The 24447-nt window shown below is 40.2% G+C and overlaps 1 protein-coding gene and 1 long non-coding RNA gene across 8 annotated transcripts in view; one reads left to right on the top strand and one right to left on the bottom strand.

Moving 5' to 3' along the window:
* The window catches only part of SLC24A2 (solute carrier family 24 member 2), an 800438-nt gene extending 787787 nt beyond the window's left edge, over positions 1-12651 (top strand). For all 5 annotated transcript variants that reach the window (XM_017014592.2, NM_001193288.3, NM_020344.4 and 2 more), the window contains one exon: positions 3704-12651. In XM_017014592.2, coding sequence (XP_016870081.1) covers positions 3704-3953 — 250 coding nt within the window. In that variant the 3' untranslated portion in view covers positions 3954-12651. The remainder of the gene's footprint in view (positions 1-3703) is intronic.
* The window catches only part of LOC105375988 (uncharacterized), a 93057-nt gene that overhangs the window by 43053 nt on the left and 25557 nt on the right, over positions 1-24447 (bottom strand). The window lies entirely within an intron of this gene.

Below are 24447 nucleotides of genomic sequence, written 5' to 3'. Positions count from 1 at the left end.
TTCTGTCTTCCACCTTTCCATGACCATATTGTTTTTCATACAGTGTCTACCATGTGCACTGTGTGTATGTTTTTCTCCATTTAAGCCACACAATAATCCTATGAAGTATGTATTATCACCCCTATTATTCAGATAAAAATACTGAAGGGCCCAGAGTTCACACTAGTAAATGAGGTAGGTAGGATTTGAACAAAGAGTCTGTGCTATCAATTGTAGCACTCTCTGTGCATAAAACTCTGCTGTGAGTATTCACTGTCTGAACTACACGTGAGCCCCCACTGAAGAGCTCTCCATGCTTGTCTGACTGGAAAACTCTGACTTACCCTTTTAGTGACAACTTAAATCCTGATTTCTCTGATTCCCCTGGGCCTGACTTGGAGGCTCTTGCCCCTAAAAACTGTCTGTACATCTTACTCTTGTCCTGGTATATCTGCCTGCTAGACTGTGCATCCCAAGAGCAGGAACTCATCAGAGCTTACTGCATTGCTATCACTGGTAGTTGTTTGACAAGTGTTTGTGGGATGGATGGATGGATGAATGAATGCCTTAAAAGGTGTATGTTTTAAAGGAAGTTGTACCTACTGTAAACAGTGTTTCTCAGTTCCGTGGTCCAAATATTCCTGGTAGAGTTCTTGGTCAATCTCTTGTAAAAAATAATAGTAATGCTCTATAGTATATTATGAAGAATTACAAAATGCTTTTTGTTCATTATTCTTAAGTTGTATACATACACACACACACACACACACACACACAAGGAAGTTTAAAGAAAAAAAATCACTCCTAATCCTATTACTCGGAAACAACACTTCTTTGTTGTATGTTCTCTTCCATATATTTCACAAAGTTTTCTTAGTAAAATATTCAGTTTTATCTACTTGGAAGGCTTTTATTTTTCCATTTTAAAGCAATCTATGCCTGGCATAGAGAGGCATCTATGAATAAATTAGTAAATCATAACCATTTTTCTAAGACTCCTCATAGCTCATAACATTTTGTGGCTTCAAATATTCCCTCTTGTTTTTCAGTGGCTTTTTCATTATCATTTATAGGATTATTAAAAATTTTCTGCTATGGGAGTTTTGATCAACATCTTTATGCAGAAAAACCTCCTCTTTTAATTATTTGTTAGGATAAATTCCTTTAAGCAGTATTAATGAACTAAATATTTTGAACATCTTAATGGGTATTGACATGTCTTGTACATTTCTTTTCCAAAAAGTTCTTTCCCAAGAATTTATACCAGCTGACAACATTTTTGACAATATACTGAGTGATGTCATTGCAATATATTAAGTGTGAAACTTTCTTCATAGCTTTGCCAGCATTTTCTTTATGCTTCTAAAATTAACATATACTCACAGATTTAGAAAATAAAAATAAGGCTCCAGGGCGCAGTGGCTCACACCTGTAATCCCAGCACTTTGGGAGGCTGAGGTGGGCGGATCACAAGGTCAAGAGATTGAGACCATCCTGGCCCAGATGGTGCAAACCTGTCTCTACTGAAAATACAAAAATTATCTACGAATGGTGGCGTGCGCCTGCAGTCCCAGCTACTCGGGAAGCTGAGGCAGGAGAATCGCTTGAACCCAGGAGGTGGAGGTTGCAGTGAACCAAGATCACGCCACTGCACTCCAGCCTGGGCGACAGAGCAAGACTCCATCTCAAAAAAAAAAAAAAGAAAAGAAAAGAAAAAGAAAGAAAAGAAAAATAAAGCTTAAAGATCAATAACTCACCAACCTTTTGAAATTCTTGTGTATTTCACATGATTGAAATTACATTGCTATTTGTGTGTATGTATGCATCTTTCATCTTTAGCTTAGAATTATATTATGGCTATTTTCCTGTAGCATTCTAAGCTTGTGATTTTTTAAACAGCTATATAACATTACATTTACTTATTTACTATTTAACTAGTTCCCTGTTATTAGAGATTATTAGAGATACTCAGCTTTTTATTATTCAAAATAACACTGAAATGATCATTTTCTGAGTAAAGTTTAATCTGCATTTTCAGTTATTTTTATACTTAATTCTTGACGATAGAATTAATAGACCAAAAGGCATGAAAAGTGTCATTTTCCCCCGAAAGGTTTTTGCAAGCCATTTATAGTGCGATTAAACTCAACTTCACTAGAAGTGTGAGAGTGTGTGTGTGTGTGTGTGTGTGTGTGTGTGTGTGTGTGTGTGTGTGTTTTAATAAGAATAAAATGGGTTTTGGTCTTTCTTCACAAGGGATGGGAAAAGAGTTTCCCAGGCCAAGTCCCTGTCAATGGCTCTCAGTTTGCCATCACCCCCACTCTCAGGCACTCCCCTTCCATTTTCTGACTTTTCATTGCTGACCCCAGGATGCCAAGGCTGCCCCCTCCTGCTAAGAACTGGAATTACCCCTTGTTCCCAAGCTTGGAACCCCTCCCCAACAAGTTCACAGAAAGAAGCACCTCCTGGCCAGACTCTACTGGGCAAAGTGCCGGTATTGATCCCCACAAGGCAGTCACATCAATCACTTCAGCTTGGCCCAGGTTAACATATGCACCCAGTTAGGGGCTGCATGTACCAGGCCTGGAATTTCAAAGATCCACAATGCACGGGCTCTGCCTTCCAATGCCGTCTCTCCAGCACAGGAGGCAGATGAGTAAACTCACTGCCCCTTTCACCCTCATCATTTCTCTCTTCCTTTGAAGAATGTAATGTTTCAAAAGAGTACCTCCTCTTCCCACACCCTGAGTCTAGGCCAAAACTGAACCTCCCTTAGCTTTTGTCATTCAGAAAGCTCAGCTAGCCAAGCAGGTATCTCCTTAGCCACCATGCTGTCATTAGGCTGATGGGTAGAGCCAGATGCCTATCACCAGCCACTTGGAAATGCCCATGTTCCCTGAGCCTTGCACTTCCAGCCATCTTCCTTTCCCAGAGTTCTAGTCAATGCTTGTGGTGTAGTGGAAACTAGCTCTCCTGAGGTCTTTCAGGATCACCACTCTCGATAGGAAACACAAGAGATCCTCAGATTTTAAAAGGTGAATGAAAAGGGAGAAAACAGGTATAAAAATATATAATAAAGTTTTTTTTAAGAAAAACACACACATCACAAATGTAAGATACTGCCTTCCTTAAATCTTTCAGAAAGACCAATTTTTCATCAAACAATTGTCAACATCTTTCCCAGAATAAACTTCAGCCTGTGATATTGTATCGTGGCCCCCAACCACCATCATTTAATTTCACTTGCCTTTAGACTATTAAGTCATTGCTATTCTTTGTCTCCATTTTTTAATTTTTTCCTCATTTTCACCACTCATTTCTGTGCCTTTTTTGCACCTGCCTGCTCCCTTCACCCTGTGCAAATCCTGGAATTCACCTTTTTAGGACTGAAAGCAACATTTTAATCTCAACTAGGAAGGAAACAAAATAATTTCCAGTCAAATTCGCAAATGTAGAAATCACCCACAGCAGTCATGTCTTTGATGTTGTCTAACTGTTCTCCCTGTTCTGAATTCAGTCAGGACATAAAGGTTTTTAAAGTCTTATTTCCTTATAAAGTGGTTTCCTGGGCCAACCATGCCCGAGTCATAGTGAACCTAACAAGACACCCTTTTCAGTTTAGAGTTCCTGAGAAGGTAATAATAGGTTATATTTGCCTTCTTCAACGTGTCTGACTACTCCCTTGTCTTCCCACTCCCCTCTGCCCTGCTTCACTTCTGCACAGGCTCCCACTGCCCTGGCTCCTGTACACCGTCATTCACAGATTCCAGCCAGTGGCTGTCAGCAGCAATGGCCTTTTCTGTGCCATCGTCCTTCTCTTCATCATGCTGCTCTTCGTCATCCTCTCTATCGCCCTCTGCAAGTGGCGAATGAACAAAATCCTGGGCTTCATCATGTTTGGCCTCTACTTTGTGTTCCTGGTGGTGAGCGTTCTCCTAGAAGACAGAATTCTTACATGCCCCGTCTCCATCTAGCAGGAAAAGCCATATCTTGCACCAGCAGCATGAATGGTCCCTCCACACTCTGGGCTCTGGGCTCCTTGACCTCTTGAGAAGAGGCAGCTGGCACACAGCCCTGGGTGCCAAGTGTCCCTCCTTGGTGAATTTGAGGAGAGATGGATTCACACTGGGCCCATTCACTTCACAGGCTGCTTCCACCCTGCCTACTGAAATGACTTCATGTAAAAGACAAAGAGAACCGTCAATACAGGGCTTCTCCCTATTCACCACTGACAAGTACACCTCGCTGGTCGGAGGTACAGTCGATGCAAACAAGGACACAGGCTATATATATCTATAAATACACATATTATAAATATACGCACATGAACACACAAATCCTGCCTGTTCCTGTACTATACCTCTCCTTGCATACCTATAGATTAGTACATACCTGTAAATAAAGACAAAGAAAAATTATATATATATATATAAAATCAGATATATATAAAAGTACAAATGCATCTTTTCAGGGATAGCTCTAGTATATTTATAGTACTTATTTGAAGAGGGGCATCAACTTGCAGTCTGGGCTTTACCTCTTAAGTACAAGAGGTGAACTAATGGAACCAACAAGACAAAGGTAGCATTGCTGTGACCTTCAGCCTACCTTGGACTTGCTGTGATCCTGCCTAGTAAGGTAGATGGTTTAGGGAAATAGCTTGCAGGGAGGAGGGCTTAGTGGAGAAGGTCTGTAGGGGCCCTGAGTTGAGCCTTCCAAAACATTCCTACAAGCCAAACAGAGAGACTATCTGCCCACCTCCACCAGAGTACCCTGACCAAGAAACTCAGGGTACTTAGGACAGAAAGAGGTAAAAACCCAGGCTGGGTGGCTTGGTTTGGGGAAGTGGGGAGGTAACCAGGGTTGGGTTGTTTTGTTTTGTTCTTATATTGTCCCAGCATGCAAGTAGAAAATATGACTACAAACCAAATTAGTGCTTTTTCTAGGACAGCAAGACTATATAAACTGAACCTGTATTTTTCCAGCGCATGTCCCATTATCATCAAAAGAAGAGGGGTAAGTTTAGCTGTGATTGTCATGTAGATATATTTTGATGCTAAGGGCTGCCAAGAGAGCCTAGATGTGCAATAAGAAGTCATCCAGTAAAGGTGCTTAGTGGGCCTTGCCACCTAATGGGATGTAAGGGCATAGTTCTTTAAAACGTTTTCCAGTGTAGTCATAAAGGGCTTTAGTGTCTGAAGAAATCATTATTCCCAATAGCACTAACTTAACTCTGATCAGCACTGCTTGGGTTGAGGCAACTTAGCGATGCTTGGAAAGGCATTTGCACACTCAGTGCACCCCAGGAAGGTTTCTGAGTGCCAGGTCGAGTGGTACCAGGACCAGGCTTTGGTTAAAGTTCTTGTAACATCTATGTCTCTTCTTCCATCAAGACCTTATCTGGGATTCTGTCTAAGTTTTAGAGTACACGGTATTTGACAGCTTCCTTATACTGGTTTCAAGCTATTCACTCCAACAATTTGATTTCTTGATTTTGCTCAACATTACATTGAATGCATGAAATTAAAATATTCCACGCCCCCAAGTTCTGTATGACACCTTGTGTGTTTTCTCAGATCTATGTCAGTCGAAAATAAAGCCAGCAAGGGGGAAAAAATAGGCAAACTGAATCAATGGAAAACTATGTAGAGCACTTTTCTTTTCTCCAAGTCATGCTTTCCTTAAAATCAGTTGAAAAATTGAATCAAGGATGGTTCATTATTCTGTACCCATCCTACGTCTAAGTTGGTACATATGGCATATGGGAAATTTCACCATATGTGTTCCTATCTCCAATCTATTCTGTCATTGACGCCTGCTATGATTTTGTTGTGAGCACATACCTCTTAACATAAGAGGACAGGATGCAGAACTCACAGCAGAATAAGAGGAAAGGTAACCTGACAGCCCCAGATCAAGCTCAGTATTCCTTCCAGAAAACCTCAGCTCACCCCACAGAGCATGGCAATAACAGGAAATGCCCATCATTCCTCTTCACCCAGAAGTAAAAAGCACTTCAAACCCGAGGCCCCCTGGGAAAACAAGAAATCAAGATGGCTGCCAGTCGGAGGCTGGCTTTCAAGTCTCTCCAACTCGGCAGATTGGGGTCTTCAGATGTGGGACAATGCCTTCCAAGACATTGAAACACCATCCAATAGAGGCGCTGAGTGGAACCTGCCACCTAATGGGAATGAATCTCATTCATCAAGGTCAGGACTTTGTACTGGGGCAAGAATTTGTCCTGCTTCCTTAGAGAGTGAAAGAATGAGGAAGTGAACTTTACGTTTAAAAACTCCAGTTGTTTTCCCTGTGTATTTCTTGAAGGGCAACCAAGTTGGTTATTGTGTGAATTTTATATTATTGACTGGTGCGTTGTTTGAAATAAGGTTTAAATAGGTGACTGACTCAACTGCAAACAGACCATGTAAAACAGAAGTTGAAGGAGACCTGATGCCGCCCTCTTCTTATTCCTGATCCTCCCTCTGCCTCCTCACTCCCTCCCATTTATTCCCAGCTTACAGTGAAGGCTGATCAAAGCAGCTATGGTGCCCTTTGCTTGTCTCGGAGCTCCACTTCACAGGAAGTGTTGTGGTCTTTCATGTGAAGTTGCATTTGAGAAGACAAAATTTCCAAGCCCCGTTCCCACATCAGTCATGTGCACTGAGCCTGACCTACAACAGCACTGCTCCCTCACTGGATGGGACACAAGTGATTCCACAGCCTGCCCTTGCTTTCCCTTCATTTCTGTGTCTGTAAGTGGTTATGTGTTGAGCCAGGGTAAATTCAGAGAGATGTGTACAGAGTTCAACAATGGGTCTTTAAACCATTCAAATCATTGGCATAATTATAAGAACTTTCCACACCGTGGTTTCCAAAACAGGTCATCTCTAACTCGTTTCCTGCATGCCTGTGTATATACATATATAAATATATACATATATATATATATACATATATATATATATATATATATCTTTATACCAGATCTATATGTACACATATAATATGACTTACATCATCACCCTCTGACCCTATCACATTCAGGATTCTAAAGCAGGGAGCATCAAGTTTGCCAAAGTCAAGGAAAAGGAAAGTCATGCACACAAACCAAAGGGAACATTTCTTCCTGATTTCATAAGGTTGTTTGTTCCATGCACATATATTTACAAATATACACATATGTACCCATATTTTCCCACCCTAAGAATATCAATTTATAGCCTTAAGGAAATCGGTCAGCCATATCCCTAATGCTGATATAGAGGCAAAGAATACACAACAGAAAATACAAAGCAAAAATTTAGACTGCAGATACTCTCTTTGCTTCTCTGGAGCAGGGTATAAAAGATATCAACAATTCAAGAGCCAACATTGTACTAATCAATCTAAAATAAATGAGTTGCACGCAAATGATTTCATTTATTCACAGCAAACCGAGCAGGTCTTGCTTGCTGTCACCGCCTACCCTCCCCCATACTTCCAAGGCAGCAGAGCAGCTTGGCTCAAACTGACAATTCCCAAATAGAAACTCCTAAATTGCATCTGAGAATGCCCATGCCAACTCCAGCTGCCCTCTGCACCTGACCAGATCCTGATGAACTGAAGCTGAAGATCAGATGGTGTTTATGCAGCTTCCCAGGACCTAAACTGAGTCAGGCAGTGACAGAGCAATGATATATGCAGGGACTAAGGGATAGGGTTGTTTATACCCTCGGCAGATGCAGCAGAATGTCCTAAAGCCTTGCCCAGAAGATTATAAAAAGAGGCGGAGACTGTTTTATATTCAGGAAAAATGCTTTGTAAGGCTTCTAACAGGTGTCACCTGACAAGGGCCATCATAATTTATTTTATAGGGAAGACATGAATCAGGTGGTTTGGAGCCCTTTCAGCAAAACGCAGCTGCCTCGCTGATTAGACATTTGACAATGTTAATGTACATCCATTCCTGGGCAGGGAGAGAGTTGGCAAACTCCCCACCACTGCACATAGCTTTTAAAGGCCTCTGGAACAGTGAGAGAAGAGATGAGCTACAAAGGGAGCCCACCCCCAGACCACTTTAACAAAAAGTTGACCAAAGAAAAGACACCTGGTAGAGTGGCTGGCCAGATAGAGCTGAAGAAGATGGAAGTTGCATTAAATGCTCTGCAGAAATTACTGCGTTGGACTATCTAACATGGGTCTGATGGCAGGCATTTCAGAACATGGCAGTGTGCTTTCCTCCCCACATCTACCAAACACACACCCACACCCCCACACACACGCGAGATTATGTGGATGCTATGCCTCCTTGCACCTGGACAGATTGTTTTTCTGGTAAGTAGGTGGCCCTATTATAGGTGGCAGCTGTGTTCCAGAAGAAACAAAGTGAAGCTGTTCTCAGGGTGATTTCTGGAGAAAACTACTGTCTCCTGAAAGCATGCATAGAAGTCAGTGCTCACTCTTGCTAAGCCACATATTCCTTAACGATCCGGCTTAATATTTTTAAAAGATACCTCCTCAACCCCTATACCTGTCTCAACAATACTGTCTTCAATTATTAGGTAAGGCCTTGTCATTAAGAGAGGGGTAGGAGAAAAAATAGAATAATAAGGAAAGGGAAGAAAGGAGATATTAATTTCCTAGGATTCCAAGAAAACAAGTGTCACGTGGAAATATATCCCTATGTAGTTTAAAACAGTAACAAATATCAGGCTATGTTTAGCCAATTACAAGAGCCCATATACAGTTTTAGATTTTTTTAAAAAATAATCTCAGGAAGACCTTGGGTAAGAAAAGTAACCCTGCCCTATTCCACCTTCTATTTACTGTTAGCTCCCTGACTCTGCCTCTGCCTCTGTCTTTGCGTTTCATTTTTAATCTCAGAGCTTCATATTTTTTAAATATATAGCAAACAAGAAAAGCAATAAGGGAACTACTCACAGCCAGCTCAACTCTATTACTTATGATTACACCATGGCAATATTCCTTTTTCACCAGGAGCTTTGGACCTGCGCAGGTTGTGGCATGTAATCACCCGGAGCATGTAGTCGTCTGTAGAAATCACAGGCACACTCATGTTTGCTCTGGAAGGAATCTGTTTTCCACAATGACTCCCCCCAGCTAATGTACACACTGGCATTTTGCATGCCTTCCTCACACATGGGGCACCAGCCTTGCTCAGAACCACCCAAACTCCACAGAGGCCCTTAATATGGCTAGGGACAGATTTCTTAAGAAAGAGTAAGAAGCAGCTACAAAGGACAAGCAAATCCACAAGTCAGGCAGCATTCGAGAGGCAAAAATGACCCTGCAATTACGACAGGCTAGGCAACTGTTTTCAAATTAGCGTACGAACAGTGAGGGACTGTGTAGAGCACCATATTATCTAAGCCAAAGCACTTCTACCAGATCATTCATTGACAGACTGGAAAACCTAATAAAATCTTTAAAAACAGACAAATATCTAAGTCTGAAAGAATGCCATGGAGTTTGCCTAGGCTTCCACCAAAGATTTAATTCCATTAAGAGGGTTTGTCTAGCCTATCACGCTAATCCAAAGGACAGTCCTCTTACGGGGGAGATCCCAGCATAGATGCTGGTGTGACCCAGCTCAATGATTAACAACCATCAGCATCAAGAAAAGCCTCCCTCCAAGTTAACCCAAACCCATCCACTTAATGACTTAACTTTTTTTTTTTTTTTTTTTTTTTTTGGCAAAAAGTAACTGCATCTGGGCACTCTTCACTCTTTGCCCCATAGTTGGAAGTTACCGCTATGTGACTCTTTACCTATTTTCAATTAAAATTATCTTTAGATTTTTATTTGAGTCTTTAACCCTCTTAATAATTTTTATAGTTCCTCTCTACTAAGCCTTTTTAAGTTCTTTATATTGTTCTTAAATGATGGAACCTTATGACTAATGATAATCACTGTCTGAACAGTGTTGAACTATACTGGGTGCAGCATGACCATGAAGCTCTGGTGAAGTCAAGGTCACAAACTGCTTTTAAGGTCATTAGGTCATAATCTCAGACTCACAAAGAACTCAAAATTGGGGAGACACCACTTTAGATTACTCCAAAACTCTGGGCCTGTACTTACCCACTAATTTATCAAGAGGAATCAATATTTTTATTTTAAATATGAAACTGGGATAAATGATTGGATCTCCACTTATTAACCAGTACTGCAGTGTGTTTATATCCTTTTGTGTGGTAGGTTGGATAGGATTTGTAAAGCTACTGATTGATCTCATGGGCCAGGGTTCACCAAAAGGATGGGAATTTGTTTCTGCATTCTTACATATTGGGTTGCATATTCCTTCATAATGGATCCATAAGTAACTAAGGCCTTGGAGACTAACAGTTCTCCAAAATACTCAGCTAACCAAAAGAAAATACTAATTTTTAAAATCATGTCATAAAAAACAGAAAAGTAAAAAAAGTCTGAAATCCTGAATAAAATTATTTTAAGGATGAAATTACATGCATAAATTAAGGGTAGATAACTTCTTGCCATTTAATTAAACAAATCCCCAATTCTTATCAGAATAAAACTGAAGGACAATGGATGCCTTTTGGGTTTTTTAATTTTTTAATATTGCACTTTATAGTACTTCATAAGAGACAACTGTCTTAATTAAAGCCATAAAATACCAATAATACATATATTCAGGGCTTCTGAATATAGTCAATCAATAAGCAGTCCATGAGTCATTCCTGTTTTGTATTGTTTATTGTAAATTGGAGTTTATCTGTTCTATTTTTTATTAACTACAATTATTGTTCTAGGCAATCCTAATCTACTTATACATTTTAGATGTGTGCTTTAATAAAACTGTTTGAAAATCAAAGAAATTATTCATTTCACAAAAGCAGTCTTCGTTTTCAAAATAGCTTATTACAGTTTCTTTAGCAAGTTCTAATACTACATGGAAATTATTTTAAAATTGTAGATTTTTTTCAGGAATCCATTTTGTTATATAAAGCAAAGTTCACCCATATGGAAAATGAAATAGATAATTAGCAAACATATACCTGGGAAATGTAGGATGTGTTTGAGCTTTTATATAAATATAGGATGGGTCTAAGAAGTTCCCTTATAAAAATGGGAAATAGAGGTATACAATTTATCAATAATTCCTTATGCCTAAATTACTAACCTTCCTTGGGAGGACATGTAAAGCAGCAGATTTCATAATGCTTTGGTGGTTATTTTCCTCCTCTCCGCTAAAATACACAATTTCTAACCTAGTATGGTACACTGTTTACACACACATATATAAAGATGTCCCCACAACTAAAAACTTTAATGTTTCAACTTCATCACAAATTTTTATATAATTTTTTTTTTAACAGACAGGGTCTTGCTCTGTCACCCAGGCTAGAGTGCAGTGGTGCAATCATAGCTCAGTGTAGCCTCAAACACCTGGACTCAAGCGATCCTCCCACTTCAGCCTCTTGAGTAGCTGGGACCTCAGGCACATGCCACCATGCCTGGCTAATTTTGTTGTTGTTGTTAAGAGATGGAGTCTCACTATGTTACCCAGGCTGGTCTCAAACTCCTGGGCTCAAGAGATCCTCCTGCTTTGGCCTCCCAAAGTGCTGGGATTAAAGGAATGAGCCACCATACCCAGCCCTTTTATGTAATTTGAGTAAAAGTAATTACTAAAAAGCACTTAATAGTCTAGAAATCCACCAGAACTGGGTACCTAAATTGTCCATATAGAGTAAACATGGGTACTAAACTGGACAACCCCATCAATTTTATGCTTAAGTGGCCAAATTGCCCTAAAGAAAGGGTATCTGAACCAAGGGCCAGTGATATTCCTCTGTTAGAGGCTGTTTTGTGGTCTGAAGAGTTTCTCTAAAGGGCTGAGACTCTATTCGGAAGAGGGAGCCTCAGTTACTGAATTGCGCTATTGAACCCTGAACACAAAGTACACATATATACCCTGCATCTAGCCTTGATATTTCTTCTGCTCAAGTCAAAAAACTCCGGAAGCAACAGCTTCCACCATCAAGCAATCCACATACTTAAAAAGCCATCAAAGCTAAGAATAGCAAAAGCTACCTTCCTGATTCAGTGAAGTTGCTGCTAGCACTAAAAGCAAGAGAAATTATACTTTTGTTCTTCAGATACGGTTAAAACAAAGAAAATGTTGTCAACGTTGACGCCAACATAGACATTTGCTCTATAACATATAAACTGTCTTTTAGACAGGTTATGTTAAAAATATCAGAATGCCATTTTTGTAAAGGATCTTTTTTAGGATAGACGTGGTCTCATGCTTCCTTTGTTCGCCTCCGTTTTAAAGGAGCATTGTAACCCCTATCCTCATCCCTACAAAAATCCAGTGGATGCACTTCCAAATTACTTCTGTCATTTTGTATGTGTTGTGTTTATTATGCGTAATTTTCACTGGATGATGAGATACATGGTGATACTATGTCAGTTTATTCTCTGTGAATATGTCTGTACATAGACAGGAAGCTCTACTTATTTGTACATAGGCTGTCTGAAGTATGTACTTCTGTCACATGGACTTCATTCTGATAAAGGGTGTTTCTTCTTGTTTCACTGTCCATACCTTTGTGCTTCTACTACTGATAATCAATTCATAGAATATCACTTTATGTAACTAAGTCTCCTCAGTGTGAAAAATAATAGTAATAAAATTATTGACTCAAAGAAGTATTGTTTTGTTTGGAGTAATTCTTACTTGTGGCTAATCAGGACCCTCAGGGTCACAAGAAATACATACATGGTCATGGAAGTTTAATTGCAGAGATTCAAGGGGACAACAGGGAAAGCAAGAGTTACTGTTAATTATATAGATGCTCCTCAATTTATGATGAGGTACATCCTAATAAGCCTATAAGTTAAAATATTAAGTCAAAAATGCATTTAACACACCTAATCTGCTGAACATTACAGTTTAGCCTAGTCTACATTAAAGTTGCTCAGAACACCTACACTAGCCTACAGTTGAGCAAAATCATCTAACACAAAACCTATTTTATACTAAAGTGTGGAAGATCTCATATAATTTATTGACGTTCTACTGAAAGTGCGTTGCTTCTGAACCATTGTAAAGTCAAAAATCATTAAGATAAATGAATCATCAGGACTGAGGGACCATCTGTAACTACCACTTATTGAGTGCTTACTAATATCATTTGAGCTTTTAAATATCTGTGGGAACATTGTACACTCAAGGGACTACTCCAAAGCAATTGAATTTTAATCAATTAAATATATTGAAAGTGTAAATTCAAAGGACTAGTGTTGCCTAAGCCTTGAAGTTCAACTTAAAAGTCTTGTTATAAATCTAATATTTTATATGAAAATAAGAATTCAGGCCGGGCACGGTGGCTCATGCCTGTAATCCCAGCACTTTGGGAGGCTGAGGCGGGGGAATTACTTGAGTTCAGGAGTTGGAGACCAGCCTGGCCAACATGGTGAAACCCCATCTCTACTAAAAATTCAAAAACTAGCCGGGTGTCATGGTGGGCACCTGTAGTCCCAGCTACTGGAGGCTGAGGCAGGAGAATCATTTGAACCCGGGAGGCAGTTGCAGTGAGCTGAGATTGTCCCACTGTACTCCAGCCTGGGCAACAGAGTGAGACTCCATCTTAAAAAATAAATAAATAAGAATTCATGGTGTCTTTTTCTTTGATTACCTCAGTTAACTAAGTATAAAAGATTAAATTTTAAATAATCCAATTTATAAATTTAGTTAATTAAATTCCCTCAGGCATTTTAAATTTTACACATTTAACAGACCTGATTTTCTCAAGCACTCCAAAAGCCTGACAGAATCCTAGAAAACAAAATTTTCTATGCACTTAATCAATTTCTAAGCAATTAATGTAATAAATGAAACCAAATTTAGTAAACTGGGTTATAATAAACATTTCAATACCATTTACAAACCTAATAAAAATCTATGACATCTTTAAAATTAGTATCATGAGTCTAATAAAAATTACACATTTCAAATTGCAATCAGATTATCCAATATGCTGGATTCCTTAACACCTTAAAATATACACAAAATATCCAAATGATCATAAAACATATTCCTAAACCACACCAAAGTATTAATACTACAAATTTGATTTACCTCATTATCTCTGTATTTCTATAACATTTTCCCAAGCTTTGAAAAGTCACCCAACTAACGGGCAGATTTACCATCTCGGGCAGGATACAATAACTGATGCTGAGTCACAGTACCATTACTTACCATTTGGAGAATCGACCCCAGGACATGACACATGGGCCCTTCATACTGAATTACCTCAGGACATGACATATGGGCCCTACATAGGATGTCTTAATCTCAGGGCCTTGATTTCCTCATCTATGAAATGAAAATAATAGTATCTACCTCAAATGTGGATGACATAATTAAATGAGATAATATAAGATGCTTGGATAAAATCTGGCCCATAATAATTTTTAAAGTGTTTGCTATTTTAAGACTCTCACTGCTAAAATCCAGACATAATTACCAAAGTATAATGTACTAGAAAAGAGTATGAGATAATTCTGGCCTGTGTTCTTGGAAAACCCAAAGCCTGCTGGGGTGATCAACACTTCTTGTTCTGATAATTAAGAGCCTGTTTTGGAAAAGGAACAGCTCCGGTCTGCAGCTCCCAGCACGAACAACACAGAAGGCGGGTGATTTCTGCATTTCCAACTGAGATGCTCAGTTCATCACACTGGGACTGGTTGGACAGTGGGTACAGCCCAAGGAGGGCTAGCTGAAGCAGGGTAGGGCATCGCCTTACCTGGGAAGCACAAAGGGTCAGCGAACTCCCTCTCCTAGCCAAGGGAAGCCATTAGGGACTGTACTATGCACTCCGGCCCAGATACTGCACTTTTCGCACAGTCTTTGCAACCCACAGACCAGGAGATTCCCACAAGCGCCTATACCACCAGGGCCCTGGGTTTCTAGCACAAAACTGGGCGGCCATTTGAGCAGACACCGAGCTAGCCACAGAAGTTTTCTTATCATACCCCAGTGGCAAATGGCACCTGGAACACCAGAGAGACAGAACCATTCCCTCCACTGGAAAGGGGGCTGAAGCCAGGGAATCAAGCGGTCTGGCTCAGCAGGTCCCACCCCCACAGAGCCCAGCAAGCTAAGATCCACTGGCCTGAAATTCTCACGGCCAACACAGCAGTCTGAGCTCGACCTGGGATACTTGAGCTTGGTGTGGGGAGGGGCATCCACCATTGCTGAGGCTCAAGTAGGTGGTTTTATCCTCACAGTGTAAACAAAGCCACAGGGAACTTCAAACTGGGCAGAGCCCACCGCAGCTCAGCAAGGCTCCTGTGGCCAGACTGCCTCTCTAGATTCCCTCCTCCCTGGGCAGGACATCTCTGAAGAAAAGACAGCAGCCCCAGTCAGGGACTTATAGATAAAACCCCCACCTCTCTGGGACAGAGCACCTATGGAAAGGGGTGGTTGTAGGCACAGCTTCAGCCGACTTAAACATCCCTGCCTGGCAGCTCTGAAGAGAGCAGCAGACCTCCCAGCACAGCATTCAAGCTCTGATAAGGGATAGAATGCCTCTCAAGCAGGTCCCTGACCCCCATGTATCCTGACTGGGAGACACTTCCCAGTAGGGGCTGACAGACATCTCATACAGGAGAACTCTGGCTGGCATCTGGTGGGTGACCCTCTGGGAGGAAACTTCCAGAGGAAGGAACAGGCAGCAATCTTTGCTGTTCTGCAGCCTCCACTGGTGATACCCAGGCAAACAGGGTCTGGAGTGGACCTCCAGCAAACTCCAGCAGACCTGCAGCAGAGTGGCCTGACTCTTAGGAAGAAAACTAACCAACAGAGGGGAATAGTATCAACATCAACTTAGAACCCCATCTGAAGGTCACCAACTACAAAGACCAAAGGTAGATAAATCCATGAAGATGGGAAGAAACCAGTGCAAAAAGGTGAAAATTCCAAAAACCAGAATGCCTCTTCTCCTCCAAAGGATCACAACTCCTCACCAGCAAAGGAACAAAACCGGATGGACAATTAGTTTGATGAACTGACAGAAGTAAGCTTCAGAAGGTGGGTAATAACAAACTCCTCCGAGCTAAAGGAGCATATTCTAACTCAACGCAAGGAAGCTAAGAACCTTAAAAAAAGGTTAGATGAATTGCTAACTAGAATAACCAGTTTAGACAAGAACATAAATGACCTGGAGCTGAAAAACCCAGCACAAGAACTTCATGAAGCATACAGTAGTAACAATAGCCGAATTGATCAAGTGGAAGAAAGGATATCACACATTGAAGATCAACTCAATGAAATAAAGTGAGAAGACGAGGTTAGAGAAAAAAGAGCGAAAAGAAACAAAGACTCCAAGAAATATGGGACTATGTGAAAAGACCAAATCTACCTCTGATTGGTGTACCTGAAAGTGACAGAGAGAATGGAACCAAGTTGGAAAACACTCTTCAGGATATTATCCAAGACAACTTCCCCAACCTAGCAAGACTGGCCAACATTCAAATTCGGGAAATAAGACACTCTGAGAAGAGCAACCCCAAGATACATAATCATCAGATTCACCAAGGTTGAAATGAAGAAAAAACATGTTAAGGGCAGCCAGAGAGAAAGGTCGGGTTACCCACAAAGGGAGGCCAGTCAGACTAACAGCGGATCTCTCTGCAGAAACCCTACAAGGCAGAAGAGAGTGGCTAATATTTAACATTCTTAAAGAAAATTTTCAACCCAGAATTTCATATCCAGGCAAACTAAGTTTCATAAGTGAAGGAGAAAGAAAATACTTTACAGACAAGCAAATGCTGAGAGATTTTGTCACCACCAGGCCTGCCTTACAAGAGCTCCTGAAGGAAGCACTAAACATGGAAACGAACAACTGGAACCAGCCACTGCAAAAACATACCAAATTGTAAAGACCATCAACACTATAAAGAAACTGCATCAACTAACAGGCAAAATAACCAGCTAGCATCATAATAGCAGGATCAAATTCACACATAAAAATATTAACTTTAAATGTAAACCTGCTAAATGCCCCAATTAAAAGACACAGACTGGCAAGTGGATAAAAGGTCAAGACTCAGTAGTGTGCTGCATTCAGGAGAGCCATCTCATGTGCAAAGACACACATAGGCTCAAAATAAAAGGATGGAGGAATACTTACCAAGCAAATGGAAAGCAAAAACAGAGGAGGGGTTGCAATCCTAGTGTCTGATAAAACAGACTTTAAACCAACAAACATCAAAAGAGACAAAGAAGGGAATTACGTAATAGTAAAGGGATCAATGCAACAAGAAGAGCTAACTATCCTAAATATATATTTACCCAGCAAGGAGCAGCCAGGTTCATAAAGCAAGTTCTTAGAGACCTACAAAGAGACTTAAACTCCCACACAATAATAGTGGGAGTCGGTATTAGACAGATTAACGAGAGAGAAAATTAACAAGGATATCCAGGACCTGAACTCAGCTCTGGACCAAGCAGACCTAATAAACATCTACAGAACTCTCCACCCCAAATCAACAGAATATACATTCTTCTCAGCACCACATTGCACTTATTCTAAAGTTGACCACATAATTGGAAGTAAAACACTCCTCAGTAAATGCAAAAGAACAGAAGTCTTAACAAACAGTCTCTCAGACCACAGTGCAATCAAATTAGAACTCAGGATTAAGAAACTCACTCAAAACTGCACAACTACATGGAAACTGAACAACTTGCTCCTGAATGACTACTGGGTAAATAACAAAATGAAGGCAGAAATGGATATTCTTTGAAACCTATGAGAACAAAGATACAACATACCAGAATCTCTAGGACACATTTAAAGCAGTGTGTAGAGGGAAATTTATAGCACTAAATGCCCATAAGAGAAAGCAGGAAAGATCTAAAATCGACACCCTAACATCAAAATTAAAAGAACCAGAGAAGCAAGAGCAAACAAATTCAAAAGCTAGCAGAAGACAAATAACTAAGATCAGAGAAGAACTAAAGGAGATAGAGACACGAAAAACGCTTCAAAAAAAAAAAAAAAAAATCAACGAATCCGATAGCTGGTTTTTTGAAAAGATCAACAGACTAAATAGACACTAGCCAGACAAAGAAAAGAGAGAAGAATCAAATAGATGCAATAAAAAAATGATAAAGGTGAGATCACCACTGATCCCACAGAAATACAAACTACCATCAGAGAATACTATGAACACCTCTATGCAAATAAACTAGAAAATCTAGAAGAAATTGATAAGTTCCTGGACACATACGCCCTCCCAAGTCTAAATCAAAAAGAAGTTAAATCCCTGAATAGACCAATAACAGGCTCTGAAATTGAGGCAATAATTAATAGCCTACCAACCAAAAAAAGTCCAGGACCAGATGGATTCATAGCCGAATTCTACCAGAGGTACAAAGAGGAGCTGGTACCATTCCTTCTGAAATTATTCCAAACAATAGAAAAAGAGGGAATCCTCCCTAACTCATTTTATCAGGCCAGCATCATCCTGATACCAAAACCTGGCAGAGACACAACAAAAAAAGAAAATTTCAGGCCAACATCCCCGATGAACATTGACGCAAAAACCCTCAAAAAAAATACCGGCAAAACGAATCCATCAGCACATCAAAAAGCTTATCCACCATGATCAAGTGGGCTTCATACCTGGGATACAAGGCTAGTTCAACATATACAAATCAATAAATGTAATCCATCACATAAACAGAACCAATGACAAAAATGACATGATTATCTCAATAGATGCAGAAAAGGCCTTCAACAAAATTCAACACGTCTTCATGCTAAAAACTCTCAAACTAGGTATTGATGGAACATATCTTAAAAGGCATTTATGACAAACCCACAGCCAATATCATACTGAATGGGCAAAAACTGGAAGCATTCCCTTTGAAAACTGGCACAAGACAAGGATGCCCTCTCTCACCACTTCTATTCAGATAATATTGAAAGTTCTGGCCAGGGCAATCAGGCAAGAGAAAAAAATAAAGGGTATTCAACTAGGAGAAGAGGAAGTCAAATTGTCTCCTTTGCAGATGACATTATTGTATATTTAGAAAACCCCATCATCTCAGCCCAAAATCTCCTTAAGCTGATAAGCAACTTCAGCAAAGTCTCAGGATACAAAATCAATGTGCAAAAATCACAAGCATTCATATACACCAATAACAGACAAATAGCCAAATCATGAGTGAAATCCCATTCACAATTGCGACAAAGAGAGTAAAATACCTAGGAATACAACTTACAAGGGAAGTGAAGGACCTCTTCAAGGAGAACTACAAACCACTGCTCAAAGAAATAAGAGAGGACACAAATAAATGGAAAAACTTTCCATGCTAATGGATAGGAAGAATCAATATCCTAAAAATGGCTATACTCTCCAGAGTAATTTATAGATTCAATGCTATCCCCATCAAGCTACAACTGACTTTCTTCACAGAATTGGAAAAAGTACTTTAAACTTCATATGCAACCAAAAAAGAGCCCTCATAGCTAAGACAATCCTAAGCAAAAAGAACAAAGCTGGAGGCATTATGCTACCTGACTTCAAACTATACTACAAGACTACAGTAACCAAAACAGCATGGTACTGGTACCAAAATAGATATATAGACCAATGGAACAGAACAGAGGCCTCAGAAATAATACCACACATCTACAACCATCTGATCTTTGACAAACCTGACAAAAACAAGAAATGGGGAAACAATTCCCTATTTAATAAATAGTGTTGGGAAAACTGGCTAGCCATAAGCAGAAAACTGAAACTGGATCCCTTCCTTACACCTTATACAAAAATTAACTCAAGATGGATTAAAGACTTAAACATAAGACCTAAAACCATAAAAATCCTAGAAGAAAACCTAGGCAATACCATTCAAGACACAGGCATGGGCAAAGAATTCATGACTGAAACATCAAAGGCAATGGCAACAAAAGCCAAAATTGACAAATGAGATCTAATTAAACTCAAGAGCTTCTGCACAGCAAAAGAAACTACCATCAGAGTGAATGGGCAACCTACAGAATGGGAGAAAACTTTTGCAATCTATCCATCTGACAAAGGGCTAATATCCAGAATCTTCAAAGAACTTAAATTTACAAGAAAAAAACAACCCCATCAAAAAGTGGGTGAAGGATATGAACAAACACTTCTCAAAAGAAGACATTTATGCAGCCAACAAACATATGGGGGAAAAAAGCTCATCATCACTGGTCATTACAGAAATGCAAATCAAAACCACAATGAGATACAATCTCACGCCAGTTAGAATGGCAATCATTAAAAAGTCAGGAAACAACAGATGCTGGAGAGGATGTGGAGAAATAGGAACACTTTTACACTGTTGGTGGGAGTGTAAATTAGTTCAACCATTGTGGAAGACAGTATGGCAATTCCTCAAGGATCTAGAACTAGAAATACTATTTGACCCAGCAATCCCATTACTGGATATATACCCAAAGGATTATAAATCATTGTACTATAAAGACACACACACAGGTCTGTTTATTGTGGCACTGTTCACAATAGCAAAGACTTGGACCCAACCCAAATGTCCACCAACAATAGACTGGATTAAGAAAATGTGGCACATATATACCATGGAATACTATGCAGCCATAAAAAAGTATGAGTTCATGTCCTTTGCAGGGACATGGATGAAGCTGGAAACCATCATTCTCAGCAAACTGTCACAGGAACAGAAAACAAAGCACCACATGTTCTCATAAATGGGAGTTGAACAATGAGAACACATGGACACAGGGAGGAGACATCACACACTGGGGCCTGTCGGAGGGGTGGGGGGCTAGGGGAGGGATAGTATTAGGACAGATACCTAATGTAGATGTCAGGTTGATGGGTGCAGCAAACCACCATGGCACATATATACCTATGCAAAAAACCTGCACATTCTGCACATGTACCCTAGAACTTGAAGTATAATTTTAAAAAAAAGGAGCCTGTTTTAATAACGTTCTCTAGATTTTGGCCTCAACCAACGTCAAGCCAGCTGGTCTTCAGTATACTCGTGAAATATTTTTCTCCATCTTGAAGACTGTGGTTGTTTTGCTCGTCTTTGTTTTCCTCTGTACGCTGAGGGTTAACACGCAGGTGTCTGGAGCTCTCACACACAAAGTTCTCGTCTCACTACCCTTCCGGGTCATTGCCCAAGGTCTTGAGACTTACAACCACTTAAGTTGTTTCCATATAGTTTTATCATCTTATTTCCCAAATGGCTTTGTTCCCTGTTACTGATGTTGGTTTTATCTTCTTCAGGACACAAACCCTTCTCTGGACAGAGAGACAGACTTGAAATGCAAATTGAGCAGGTCTAATTGTTTTCTATCATCCTCAACTCACTTGGAAGCACCAAGTCCACTCTTCCTTATTTTTACTTTGTCTAGGTAGCCAAATTAACCTCTTGTATAGTCAGTCCTTAGCCTTTTAAAAGAAAGCATAACTCTTATTTATGGCTTTTAAATATTTCTTGAAGTTGGTGAGCAATAAATGACCTACAGAAGTACTTGGGAAACCTGATGTTAATAAAGAAGTTTTGATTAGCTTGTCAATTACTTGAATATAAAAAAATACTTCTAAATGGCTTAAAAACCCTTTTCAATTTTAATATCTTCAAAATTCCCATAGCAATTATTTATACTGACAGTTGGCTTACAAACATCTTTATCACGAATGGGTCTTTTTTAATACCACTTCCTGGTTGTCAGAAGTATCAAGTTACTGGGGTCCCCATGAATTGGGAAGTTAGGAAATAGACAGAAGTCTTGACACAAAGTGTACTATGATCAGAATCCAGACTGTTGGGAAGACTGACTTTCTGTGTCTCTCCTTATGCAACAATGTGAAAGTTATTCCATGACTCTGAATCACCAGTTTCTTGCCTATGTAATACTATTACTATATTACTACCCCCACAGGGCTGTTGGAAAGATTGAGTTATAACTCCATAAAGTGCCTGGCTTATAACAGGCTCTTAAAAGATGTTAGCTCCCTCCTCCCCACCTCATGTGACTTTGAACACTTATATAACCTCTCTAAGATTCAGAAAACCTCTAACATGAGTTCTTTGTTGGGTTATCTGAATACTTTCTAAGCTTAAAGATTACATATATCCTAATTGTCTTAGTACTCTAATAATACTACATCCATCAGAAAACCCATTGCTTCCTGGGATGCCACTGGTCTTCGTCCCCCCACCTACCCTAATCCAGCAATATACCAGGTGACCTGGGAATCTAATAGCCTGGCCTGGTTAATAAGCACATACCAAGAAGGACTTTATTTCAGTCTAAGTGGCAGGGTCATCCAGGACATTAAAAATTCTGAAGTGCACCAAAGACCTCGGAATTCCCACATCTTTTGGAGGCTGTGATGATGTATACCTACAAAAAACATACTGAAATACTGAACTACTGCCTGGTCAATTTTGCCTTTAGGGCCAACTAGAACATTAACCACACTCTGTATCTCTCTACAGGGACAGGCCTAAGATATTGCAAACCTGGAATTGATAAACACTTGGTAAATCTTGCCACTCATGATCCCTTACCCATGGGATCCCATCAGCAATGAAACACAGCACCACTTCCCACTATCCTTTCTCAGCAGAACATTCCAAGAAACTGCTACCAGCCTGTCACATTGGCATGCAAAGGAAAACCTAACTGCCATGTTCTAGTCTCTCCTGTCAGTGAGGATAATGAGAACTAAATAGGCCATTTTACTTTTCTGAGGTCACACTATGAAGCAACAGAACTGGATATTAGGGTCTGTTTTTTTCATTTTGCGAATGGTCTTTGCTGCAATAGTCAAAATGCACTGGAGGTGTTTTACATGTTAACAAGGGTGTTTTCACAGCGAGCCGTGATGCACATGGGTGTCAGGGTTGAGGATTTGCCACTCACAAGCCAGAGTATCTGAAGAACTGTGATAAAAAGCTTCTTGTTTAAAAGGCTTAGGTTAGGTCAGTAGTTAAGTTCTAGCCAGACAATGACTAATAGCAGGTTTTAATTAGTGAGAACTATGAGAAAAGAAGAGAAAGACTTTTGCTGCTGGAATTTAATAATGGAATTTCCAGTAAATAATAACAATCACCTCAAGGATCAAAAAACGTTATGCCCACATTTGATCACAAAATGGTCGGAATTTATGCACCTATCTCTGTCTGCTGGCAGAGGCTAATGACCCATGTCCTTGAAATGAATCAGGGCAGGGAAAGTTGTAAACATTCTAACTTCCCTGTTTCTTCCCAGGAGCTCACTCAAATGTGTAATCAATCTCAGTATCAGTTCCACTAGACTTCATGGGGGAAGAAAAAGAACACGTTTTTTGTGGGGAAAATAGTGCCATTCATTCTCATTGGTCTAATTCAGGGATGGTCTTCAAAAGAGCCTGAGAGATGGAAGGAAGACTGTGTCTGTGCGCAGCATCCTCAAATTCCCTGTCCATCTCTGGACTATTGCCTAGAATTTTGCCCTAGCACCTTATCTCTCCAGCTCAATGATTCTCAACCAACAGGCTGTACCTGAAGGGCACCTGAAACAATAGGAGGCTTTTTCAAACTACTTGTGTCAAACCCAGCCCCCACCACTTCCAGTTGCCCTCTCCAACCCCTCCAGTGTGTTCTTCCATGTGAGAGCCATAGACAGCCCTCCACTCAGGAAGTGGTCCATAACCCACAGCAGTGTTGGATGGAAAAAAATATTAAGAATCCGATTTAGCCTAACACCCTGATCTCTCTGGAAATTGTAACTGGCACAAGGAGTTCATCTCGAGTTTCTCCAAGTGATCGTGCAGAATGCCCTGTGTTCATTCACGCATTCAACAACAGGGATTCAACACGTGTGATGTGCCAGATACAGGGCTTAACACTGTGGCACCAGGGAACATAAGTCTCAGTCCCTGTTCTCAACCACTTCACTGTCCACAGAGGAAGACAAAATAGTGTTAGCTTGATGCAAAAGTAATTGCTGTTTTTGCCATTGAAAGTAAGGGCAAGACCAGGCCAAGCACGGTGGCTCACACCTGTAATCTCAGCATTTTGGGAGGCTGAGGCAGGTGGATTACCTGAGGTCAGGAGTTCTAAGTGGTGGATTTTTTAAATGTGATGTTTGGGAGAACAACATTGAGCATAGCTGAAAATGTAGGGACTCCTGGGAAGTGGAGAGATGTCAGCACCAGATTGCAGAGGACCTGTTCTAATCCAGGGAGTAGCATGGACCCTATCCTGCCACCAGATGTCATTCACCAGCTTGTGGCATGGTCACATTGGGACTTAAGAGAGCCTTCTGCACATACTGAAAAGAAATGGCTTGGATTTGCTTCCAAGTAATCTAGGTGTATGGAAGAAACCAGGTGGGCTGTAAGTTAATCGTTGAGGCTGGATGATGGCTACTCAGGAGTCGATTATGCTATTCTGTTTCTACATGATTG

This window comes from Homo sapiens, chromosome 9 (assembly GCF_000001405.40).
Source record: "Homo sapiens chromosome 9, GRCh38.p14 Primary Assembly".
NCBI lineage: Eukaryota > Metazoa > Chordata > Mammalia > Primates > Hominidae > Homo > Homo sapiens.
Note: the sequence above shows the minus strand (reverse complement) of the source record. Positions and strands in the feature narration are given on the sequence as shown.